The 12,183-nt window shown below is 38.9% G+C and overlaps 1 protein-coding gene across 3 annotated transcripts in view; it reads left to right on the top strand.

The window, feature by feature from the left end:
• The window catches only part of RSPO2 (R-spondin 2), a 184,305-nt gene extending 179,129 nt beyond the window's left edge, over positions 1 to 5,176 (top strand). For all 3 annotated transcript variants that reach the window (NM_178565.5, NM_001282863.2, NM_001317942.2), the window contains one exon: positions 3,302 to 5,176. In NM_178565.5, coding sequence (NP_848660.3) covers positions 3,302 to 3,417 — 116 coding nt within the window. In that variant the 3' untranslated portion in view covers positions 3,418 to 5,176. The remainder of the gene's footprint in view (positions 1 to 3,301) is intronic.

Below are 12,183 nucleotides of genomic sequence, written 5' to 3'. Positions count from 1 at the left end.
TTAGTTATGATGTGTCAAGGCCACTGCATTCTCAAGACACTAGGGATAAAGATATGCAAAATTTGTCACTAGAATTGGATATGTTGGATGTTGACAATCCCCTCGTAAAACTCAAACTTCTTTTTTTTTTTTTCTAATGATCCTGGGCAGTATCTATTCCAAGTCTTCTCTTGTGAACTAAAAAGTAAAGTTAAATTCATGACTTGAATTATGCGTTGGGTGACTGCCATCATATTTGCCTTTAAATACTTCCCGTATAGCATATATGTGCTTGGGAATGTGCAGCAATTGAAGTCTAGAAGTCATTCTCCAAGTCTAATCCCGCATCCACAGAGGTAAAGAAATTAAGCAGAAACAGAAATTAGCACGTTTGTATGTCTATTATAACTTATTTTCAAATATATAGATAAAACGAGGATTTTTTTGTTAGCTTTAATCTTACCGATTTCTTTTCTCATGTTTGAAAATCTTAGAACGTGAAAAAAGCATTTGTATGAAAGACCCTTTCTGTATGTTACGTTGTATTTTAGTATTCTTTTACTACTTTTGCTACTTTGAGCTGGGCTTGAAGTCAGAACAACGTAGTATGGACCACAAAATATTTTCAGTTAATTTAGGCCTGTCTGTGGTCAAATCTTGGCTAACCATCTTAATTCCTCGGTATTTGCAATATGTCTTATGTGAGAAAAGGGACTGGCCAAAAGCAAAACCAACCAACCAAACAATAGCAAAGAGGTGTCATTCAAGAGAGACTTCTGAGGGAAATCTTTAGGGTTGTAATTAGGGCCCCCAAACATTGCTTGTTGGAATTGGTACCATATAGCTTATTGCCAACAGAGTAATTGTACAAGTTAAAAAATTATTTTACATAAATAAGCTTTCAGAAGCATTGCTGAATTTTTGGCCAGGATTACCAACTGTTTTATGCAAGTATTGAGTAACTTCCCTATGACACAATATCATATCAGCCAGTAAACCCAAAACCATTTAATATTGACAATTACTTCAGAATAATATATTGGGTAAATGAAACGAAATTGACCATCTTAAAATGAGCTTTTCCCATCATTTTGCATGGATTTGCTGTTAGTGAAAGTAGTACATATTTAACTCACAACTACATAATTTACACGAAGCTTTCTTGTGAATGTGAAAAGCTTTCTTTAACATATATTCTTTAACATATATTCAGTATTAAAATCTAGTAAGATAAGCTTTATTTTTCCATTCACTTAATTTCAATTTGCTTTTAAAAGAAACTCCAGGCTTTATATCAATTAAACATAAACCAAATGAATTTAAAATGTAGTCAGTAATGATTTTTTAAACTAAGGATTTTGTTGTTTAGAGAAAATACAGAACAAAAACTTCTTCATAACACTTTATAATTGAAGCTTTTAAAATATGCTATATTTTGTATTAAATATTTCATTTTTCTGCCCTCCTTTGGTGTGTCTCATCATTAGAGATAATGTTACTAAATAGTTGTAACTTTACAGCTGCTTTGATTAATGATGGCTTGAACTAAGGTTTCATGGGGTAGGATTAACTACGTTTCAAGATGGCAAACTGCCATTATAACATTAATGCCAGAATTTAATGAGAACCAGAAGTTAGCTTTAAGGACCTTTATAATTTAATATGGGGGCATGATCATGTTCTCATTGTTTTAATGCAATGTCCTATTAAACATAAGTTATTCTTTTAAATCTTTTTTTCTTGTGATAAAAAGATGTAAAAACATTTGCTCAGCAAATGTTTATTGACTATCGACTAAGTGCCAGTCACTGTGCTAGGGTCTTGAAGAGTAAGCCTGTTTTCCATCCTTAAAACAGATCCTTTCTGATCAGAAAGAACAGAAATAAGAAACATCTACCTTATTTAGAAATCTCATGGCCTTCCTTAACCTTGTATGACTCTGGTTTCCTAATTCATGTATCTCCCTAGACTCTGGTCTGTTTCCTTTTCATTTTTGACATCAGCCTCCTTCTCCATAGGCTAGATTGAAAAATTGGCCTGCTATATGCCTGGAATGAAAGGGTCTGGGTTATGTAATTTTACAGGTATGGGAAGGATGAAGAGCACAAAACTGAATGTCCTGTTCCCTATTCGTAGTACTGATTACTGTGCTGTCAAATAGCTACACCTTACAGGAAGAGAAAAGTTAAGCTTTATAGAATTACAAGATAAAATTTGAAGTAGGGAAAGTAAGAGAGGAAGAACAGCCAACAGGATTCTTTCTTGTTCATTGAGACAAAAGTCTTCCTGTACTGAAGGTGTGTAGGGGTGACTTACTTTCTGTAAAATGCAGGAGACCTTTAAAGCCCTTTTCTGTTCTAAAAATCCTCTGATTTCTGTGTGTTTAGAACTCAAAGAGGTGATGGACCTAAGACAGATGTCTCATGTTCTTTATTCTTTTTTCTCAAAATCTTATGTGTACAAAGGTTGAGACCTTATAAAGTAAGACTGTAAAACTATAACCACAGATGGAGGAAGTAAAATATAGCAGAGGCAAAGAAAAAAACAGCATTTAAAAAATTCCTGCTGGAGGAAAACCTCAACTAGTTAGCTTGTAGCCTGGGCTTCCTAGTGGCTAAGGCAAAGAAGAGAAATACTTGGTATGATCGTCTGGTAGTTAGACACATACCACCAGTTTATCAAAACAAATAAGCATTCTTCTTGCTCTCCATTAATAACAACAACTTGTCCAGGGGATTTGGATAAGAAGCCATAAGGTATATAATGAATGATGTCTCCATGAATTTTTATAGAAAATAAAGGATTGCACATATGTCATTTTATACATTGGTATTTGGAATATGGAGGAAATAATGTTAAAAGCAAGACTCTTTTTCCCCCATGGGGAAAGGGAGAGAGGAGTTTGAAACTTCTGGTATGTTTGCTATAGATAGATGCTTATTTTCTTTTGACCCACTGACACGTGGAGCAGTAGTAAGATGTAAAGATGTGTAGAAAAGGGTAGCATTGTTAGAAGTAGGAGGGAATAAATGGAATTTTTGTGGCAGGATGATATTTGAAAGACGGATCAGGCCACTGGGAGGTTTTTCAATATGCCAGTTCCCTGTAACAGGAAAATCAGTCTCTGTTTTAGACAGCATATCTAATTTAGTAAATTATTATTATTCTGTCAAAATTAATGTGAACAATTTTCTCTTTGAGGCTTTTTCCATAGGTGATGTTTTCCAGATGGGCTTTGTGCAAAACTCCCAATATTTTTGTGTTTTCTTTCCTAGAGAAAGAGCCATTTCTGACATCTCTTCTTTTCTTTCCTTCATTGCAGGGAAGAGAACACCAAAGGCGAAGGAGAAGAGGAACAAGAAAAAGAAAAGGAAGCTGATAGAAAGGGCCCAGGAGCAACACAGCGTCTTCCTAGCTACAGACAGAGCTAACCAATAAAACAAGAGATCCGGTAGATTTTTAGGGGTTTTTGTTTTTGCAAATGTGCACAAAGCTACTCTCCACTCCTGCACACTGGTGTGCAGCCTTTGTGCTGCTCTGCCCAGTATCTGTTCCCAGTAACATGGTGAAAGGAAGCACCACCAGCATGGCCCCTGTGTTATTTATGCTTTGATTTGAATCTGGAGACTGTGAAGGCAGGAGTAAGTGCACAGCCCGTGACTTGGCTCAGTGTGTGCTGAGAGAATCCGTCCCCGGCACCATGGACATGCTAGAGGTGTGAGGCTGCAGAACACCGCTGGAGGACGGACTTGTGCCTATTTATGTGAAAGAAGATGCTTGGCAGGCAATGCGCTACTCACTCGTGACCTTTATTTCTCACATTGTGCATTTTCAAGGATATGTTTGTGTGGATATCTGCTTAGTGTTACCACATGGTATTCTCAGCATGTTACCTTCACACTGTTGTGCGATGAAACTGCTTTTAGCTGAGGATATGCTCTGGAAATTCCTGCTCAGTTTCACTGCAGCCCTAATATGTACATATACTGCAGGAGCTACATATAAAGCTCTTATTTACTGTATATTTATGCTTTCTTGTGGGTAACAAGTCATACCTGATTAATATGATGCCACTTTGTTTCTAGTGGTTCCTAACCCATTGTCTGATAAATGACTTTTCTAGTTTGGGGAATTGACACTTGTTTTGTTGCCTCTTGAAACTTTTTTTTTTTCCCCTCATTGTGGGCTTATTTCTCATTGTAAGGGTAGGATAAACTAGTTTTTGTATATAGAGTCAAATGACCAGTGTCAAAGAGTTTGCATATTGGGTAGACCTTCTCCACTCCACATGTCCCACACATATAGATAAAGCAGCAGGCGGCATCTGGCAATCAGAAGCCCAAACTGCCTTTGAGTCTAAGATGTGATGACTTTGATGAAACACAACTGAAAACATGAGGGACTATATCCAGTCACTTGTAGCCAGTTTCACAGGCCAGCTACAGAATTGTCCAAACAAACATTATTTCTGACTGCAATTTTTTTCCCCCAAATTTAAAGCAATCCCTGGCTTTAAATGACAAGGCACCTACCAATGTTCTTGGGTCACTGAAGAAGCTACTACCATGAGCCTGGGCATAGAATTTTAGGAGATAAAAGGATGAATTTCTGTGACTGCCAGTCAGATCTTAACAGGTTTCTGTTGAGCCAGAATCTGTTTCAGATCCAAGATGGAGAGGAACACTATGGAAACTTCCCAGGTGACTTTCAGAGCAGTTGTTTCAAACACATCATTGTCCTTTTAGGGGAACCAGTTTTTAGAAGGTTGTGAATTGGCTTTTTCACAAAGCATGATTATCTTCCTGGCTGATCCAGGAGAAAATTAGAACAGAAAAATAATGGTTGTGGATTTTGAAACAAAGCAAGGTAAAGCCTTTTTTTTTTCACCTTGCATTGGCAAAACTACCTCTTCAGTGTTTTTAACTTTTGATTCAAAAGCATCTTACCAATAAGGATAAATATCATATACATCGTTATGAAAATATTGCTATGAGATAATAAGCCACATATGAATGTTGTATACAACTTTAGGGTTTACATTTAATCCTGAAGTGTTACCTCCTTTCATGTCTATTTACACTATTTTCCCATTTACTAAGTGGGGAGGGGGTCTCCTTATATAGTGCTTCATCGTTAATAAGTCAATACCTGTTGTTCCTGGGATGTTCTTTTTTGTGCATTAAAAACTTCAAAATTATTTTTTGTGGAGATTTCTTTTTTACTTTAGAGATACATTTAGAAATAACTCAGTACTTTGTTCTACCCCCAAAATAACAGCCCTTTAAAAAAGACAGGCAAATCTTTAAAAACCTATATTGGTAACTACATCTAGAACACTAACTAACTAGTTTATAGATAAACTAGATAACTGTAAACTAGAGTCCAAGTGCCCGAGTTCTAATCCAGACTGAGAGTGGCCTGTGAAAATTACTTAATCCCTCCACTCTCAGTTTCCTTATCTGTGAAATGGGGATCACATTATCATCTGCCTCTAGGGGCTGTGTTTTAAGGACCAAATGAAAATATATACAGGGAAATATATACAGGGTTGTACTTTAAGGATATAATTAGGTAAAATGTGTAAAGTATGGTCACCACGGCATTCTATATACTAAGTACTATACAAGTTGGTCACCTATTACATCTTTCAATGGCTATTTAGATTCTTTTAAAAAATATTGATTTCTCCTTATTAACAAAATAGAACATTTATGAAAAGTATCAATCTAATCTATTGCTTGGTGCCTGGGCATTATTTGCTAAAACATTTACATCTGCTTGATTTCTGACTCTCCCTGATATAAGCAGCATACACACACAGATACACACAAAACTGAATTCTTTCCTCTATCAATCAGTACGGGTGCAATCAAGGAAATAAACTAGTCGGGGTGTTTCAAATGGGGAATTTAACACCAGAAATTGGTTATACAGGTGATAAAGGAGACACGAAGCCAAAATATGTTGCCAAGATGACCCAGAGATTAGCAACAGCAGGAGGCACTATTTTACCCCTAATGCAAGAGGAATTACAAGAAGAGGTGGAGTTTCCAAAATCTAGAAGCCACAGGTGCCCAGCTAGACTTAGAACCATAGCTGAGGCTAGAGCTATAACCACAGAAGGAGCTGGAACTGAGGACAGAAAGCTTGTTTGGTAGGAGCTGAAATATTGTAGATGATCTTGTTGCTGTGAGAAATGCTGCTTGAGGCAAATTCATAGAGGAGGAAATAGCCTGGCTTCTCCCTATCTCCCAACCTCCAGTCTTCCACCAGTGCCCGCTATTGCCCAAAGCTGCCCAGAAGCCAGTAGGCAAGGGAGTCTGGGTAACACAGTTTTCTGTGGTTCAGAAGAGCCTGAGGGAAGGGCAGCGGGTAGATCTAAGAGCAACCAAATGATCGGCATAATCACTGATAACTGCCTTCAACTGTTCCCCTTCCTGCTTTTCCTATTGGACAGTTAATTATTTACCTAGTTGATTAAAGGCTCTTGTATTCGTCATTTACTTCCTTTGTTCCCTACATCTAGTCAGTTACTAATGAGTTTACCTTGGAAATATCTCTTGATTTTCTCCGTACCCCTTTACTTTCTTTGCCCAAGGCTGGTCCTCTTTGTCTCTTTTTCTGGACTGTTCCACTCTTCCTAGACATCATTCTTGCCCCCACCTTCACTCACTCCAATTATTCCTTTGTATTTCTATCACTTATTTTTCTATTAACAATTTTTTACTGCTTTTTAAAAAAATACTTTCCCATTCCCTATAGAATAAAATTTTGCAATTCTTCAGTGCCCTTTTAATGTCATCTTCACCCATGTATCTTACAGAGATCAACAAAAGACTGAATGGGGTGGAAGACTGTGGTAAAATCTTCAAGGGTTCCTTGATGGTAAACTTGGACATGCTCACTGTATTAGTTGATACCCCTTGAATCACAAAGACAGAAATGCAAGGGCAGACATGGCTTTAAAAGTAGATGATATTAGCATGTGTTGGTTTCTGATAAAAATGTAGGTGATAAACATTAAATCTTGAAATCTCCAATTCTTGTTTTACTTCTTATTAAAACAAAATGGATCTTTATTTTAGGCCCAAACCTAAAGTGAAATATTGAACATTCAAAAAGCAAATGTTTTTTCTACATACAGTTTCTCTTTCTAGGTTCATTTACATGGGTAGCACCACTACCTTCTAGCATTCCCTTGACTGAGAGGTTGAAGAAGCTGAAAAATGTGTGATGAATAAAGATTTTGATGGATTTCCATATTCATCTCTGATGAATCATTACAGCAAACTGCCATGTGCCATTTTCTCCTGCTCTAGCAGACATTGTTACTCACTGTCTCTCTACCTCTGAGCAAGACATGTAGATTCAGAATCCTTCCCAACAAAAGTGTTCCAAGAAAACATTACCAATATATTGGAATTGACAGGGGAGTTACAACTTTTTGCTTTCCGGGTTCAACTTAATGCCCTAGAGAGTGACTTCACCCAGACACCCTCTTTGGAGCACTCCATGACTTATTTTTCAAACATTTCCGCTAATACCCTTACAGGCAGAGAAGAACAAATTCATAACTCTGGAATTATAACCTGAAGCAGCCTCATTTTAATCCTGATTTTAAAATAATTCACGTGAATATTGCATTCTACTCAATAAAATGCCTATTTTTAAATGCAAAATTATTCCCCTATCCTTTGACATTCCCTCCGAAAACCTTGGAGCAAAATCACATTTCAGGAAGATGTTCTATGTTTATTCAGTCCTAGGTTTTACATACTCCTTGGCAAGTAGTTCCTTGTCCCTGGAAAAATACATATCTTCATTTAAGAATCTGAAGAGTAGTTCTTTGGTAGTGTTCACAAATGGCTTTACCAACTAACTCCTCCTTGGGTTTTATGACCTCAGGCTCCCCAGGTGCACATTCAACTTTAATTTGATTCTTTTTCTACTGGCTTCCTTTCTCCTCTTTTCTACTTTAGTTATGATTCAGCCACAAGCTGCCTTCCCTCTGTTTTTGAGAAAAGAGGTAGCAATCTTTTTCTGTAAAGGGCCAGAGAGTAAATATTTTAGGCTTTGTGGACCACACTATCTCAGTGGCAGCTACTCAGCTGTTATAGCAGAAAAGCAGCCATATTCAGTATGTAAATGAATGGGGATGACTATGTTGCAATACAACTTTATCTAAACTTAAATGTGAATTTCATAGTTCTCACATGTCATAATATATTCTTTTGTGTTGCAGGAAGTCAGGGACTCTGAACAGAGGGACTGGCTGAAGCCATGGCTGAAGAACATAAATTGTGAAGATTTCATGGACATTTATTAGTTCCCCAAATTAATACATTTATAATTTCTTATGCCTGTCTTTACTGCAATCTCTGAACACAAATTGTGAAGATTTCATGGACATTTATCACTTCCCCAATCAATACTCTTGTGATTTCCTATGCCTGTCTTTACTTTAATCTCTTAATCCCATCATCTTTGTAAGATGAGGATGTATGTCATCTCAGAACCCTGTGATGATTGCATTAACTGCACAAATTGTTTATAGAGCATGTGTGTTTGAACAATATGAAATATGGGCACCTTAAGAACAGGATAGGAGGGAGGAGCCAAGATGGCCGAATAGGAACAGCTCCGGTCTACAGCTCCCAGCGTGAGCAATGCAGAAGACAGGTGATTTCTGCATTTCCATCTGAGGTACCAGGTTCATCTCACTAGGGAGTGCCAGACAGTGGGCGCAGGTCAGTGGGTGTGCGCACTGGGCACGAGCTGAAGCAGGGTGAGGCATTGCCTCACTCGGGAAGCACAAGGGGTCAGGGAGTTCCCTCTCCCAGTCAAAGAAAGGGGAGACAGACGGCACCTGGAAAATTGGGTCACTCCCACCCTAATACTGCGCTTTTCCAACGGGCTTAAAAAACGGCGCACCTGGAGATTATATCCCGCACCTGGCTCAGAGGGTCCTACGCCCACGGAGTCTCGCTGATTGCTAGCACAGCAGTCTGAGATCAAACTGCAAGGCGGCAGCGAGGCTGGGGGAGGGGCGCCTGCCATTGCCCAGGCTTGCTTAGGTAAACAAAACAGCCGGGAAGCTCGAACTGGGTGGAGCCCACCACAGCTCAAGGAGGCCTGCCTGCCTCTGTAGGCTCCACCTCTGGGGGCAGGGCACAGACAAACAAAAAGACAGCAGTAACCTCTGCAGACTTAAATGTCCCTGTCTGACAGCTTTGAAGAGAGCAGTGGTTCTCCCAGCACACAGCTGGAGATCTGAGAATGAACGGGCAGACTGCCTCCTCAAGTCGGTCCCTGACCCCTGACCCCCGAGCAGCCTAACTGGGAGGCACTCCCCAGCAGGGGCAGACTGACACCTCACACTGCCGGGTACTCCAACAGACCTGCAGCTGAGGGTCCTGTCTGTTAGAAGGAAAACTAACAAACAGAAAGGACATCCACACCAAAAACCCATCTGTACATCACCATGATCAAAGACCAAAAGTAGATAAAACCACAAAGATGGGGAAAAAACAGAGCAGAAAAACTGGAATCTCTAAAAAGCAGAGCGCCTCTCCTCCAAAGGAATGCAGTTCCTCACCAGCAACGGAACAAATCTGGACGGAGAATGACTTTGACGAGCTGAGAGAAGAAGGCTTCAGACGATCAAATTACTCCGAGCTACGGGAGGACATTCAAACCAAAGGCAAAGAAGTTGAAAACTTTGAAAAAAATTTAGAAGAATGTATAACTAGAATAACCAATACAGAGAAGTGCTTAAAGGAGCTGATGGAGCTGAAAACCAAGGCTCCAGAACTACGTGAAGAATGCAGAAGCCTCAGGAGCCGATGCGATCAACTGGAAGAAAGGGTATCAGCTATGGAAGATGAAATGAATGAAATGAAGCGAGAAGGGAAGTTTAGAGAAAAAAGAATAAAAAGAAACGAGCAAAGCCTCCAAGAAATATGGGATTATGTGAAAAGACCAAATCTACGTCGGATTGGTGTACCTGAAAATGACAGGGAGAATGGAACCAAGTTGGAAAACACTCTGCAGGATATTATCCAGGAGAACTTCCCCAATCTAGCAAGGCAGGCCAACATTCAAATTCAGGAAATACAGAGAATGCCACAAAGATACTCCTCAAGAAGAGCAACTCCAAAACACATAATTGTCAGATTCACCAAAGTTGAAATGAAGGAAAAAATGTTAAGGGCAGCCAGAGAGAAAGGTCGGGTTACCCTCAAAGGGAAGCCCATCAGACTAACAGCAGATGTCTCGGCAGAAACCCTACAAGCCAGAAGACAGTGGGGGCCAATATTCAACATTCTTAAAGAAAAGAATTTTCAACCCAGAATTTCATATCCAGCCAAACTAAGCTTCATAAGTGAAGGAGGAATAAAATACTTTACAGACAAGCAAATGCTGAGAGATTCTGTCACCACCAGGCCTGCCCTAAAAGAGCTCCTGAAGGAAGCTCTAAACATGGAAAGGAACAACCGGTACCAGCTGCTGCAAAATCATGCCAAAATGTAAAGACCATCGAGACTAGGAAGAAACTACATGAACTAATGAGCAAAATAACCAGCTAACATCATAATGACAGGATCAAATTCACACATAACAATATTAACTTTAAATGTAAATGGACTAAATGCTCCAATTAAAAGACACAGACTGGCAAATTGGATAAAGAGTCAAAACCCATCAGTGTGCTGTATTCAGGAAACCCATCTCACGTGCAGAGACACACATAGGCTCAAAATAAAAGGATGGAGGAAGATCTACCAAGCAAATGGAAAACAAAAAAAGGCAGGGGTTGCAATCCTAGTCTCTGATAAAACAGACTTTAAACCAACAAAGATCAAAAGAGACAAAGAAGGCCATTACATAATGGTAAAGGGATCAATTCAACAAGAGCTAACTATCCTAAATATATATGCACCCAATACAGGAGCACCCAGATACATAAAGCAAGTCCTGAGTGACTTACAAAGAGACTTAGACTCCCACACATTAATAATGGGAGACTTTAACACCCCACTGTCAACATTAGACAGATCAATGAGACAGAAAGTCAACAAGGATATCCAGGAATTGAACTCAGCTCTGCACCAAGCGGACCTAATAGACATCTACAGAACTCTCCACCCCAAATCAACAGAATATACATTTTTTCAGCACCACACCACACCTATTCCAAAATTGACCACATACTTGGAAGTAAAGCTCTCCTCAGCAAATGTAAAAGAACAGAAATTATAACAAACTATCTCTCAGACCACAGTGCAATCAAACTAGAACTCAGGATTAAGAATCTCACTCAAAACTGCTCAACTACATGGAAACTGAACAACCTGCTCCTGAATGACTACTGGGTACATAACAAAATGAAGGCAGAAATAAAGATGTTCTTTGAAACCAACGAGAACAAAGACACAACATACCAGAATCTCTGGGACACATTCAAAACAGTGTGTAGAGGGAAATTTATAGCATTAAATGCCCACAAGAGAAAGCAGGAAATATCTAAAATTGACACCCTAACATCACAATTAAAAGAACTAGAAAAGCAAGAGCAAACACATTCAAAAGCTAGCAGAAGGCAACAAATAACTAAAATCAGAGCAGAACTGAAGGAAATAGAGACACAAAAAACCCTTCAAAAAATTAATGAATCCAGGAGCTGCTTTTTTGAAAGGATCAACAAAATTGATAAACCGCTAGCAAGACTAATAAAGAAAAAAAGAGAGAAGAATCAAATAGATGCAATAAAAAATGATAAAGGGGATATCACCACCAATCCCACAGAAATACAAACTACCATCAGAGAATACTACAAACACCTCTACGTAAATAAACTAGAAAATCTAGAAGAAAGGAATAAATTTCTCGACACATACACTCTCCCAAGACTAAACCAGGAAGAAGTTGAATCTCTGAATAGACCAATAACAGGCTCTGAAATTGTGGCAAGAATCAATAGCTTACCAACCAAAAAGAGTCCAGGACCAGATGGATTCACAGCCGAATTCTACCAGAGGTACCAGGAGGAACTGGTACTATTCCTTCTGAAACTATTCCAATCAATAGAAAAAGAGGGAATCCTCCCTAACTCATTTTATGAGGCCAGCATCATCCTGATACCAAAGCCGGGCAGAGACACACCAAAAAAGAGAATTTTAGACCAATATCCTTGATGAACATTGA

This window comes from Homo sapiens, chromosome 8, assembly GCF_000001405.40.
Source record: "Homo sapiens chromosome 8, GRCh38.p14 Primary Assembly".
Lineage (NCBI taxonomy): Eukaryota > Metazoa > Chordata > Mammalia > Primates > Hominidae > Homo > Homo sapiens.
The sequence above is the reverse complement of the archived record's forward strand: the minus strand, read 5'-3'. Positions and strand labels throughout refer to the sequence as shown.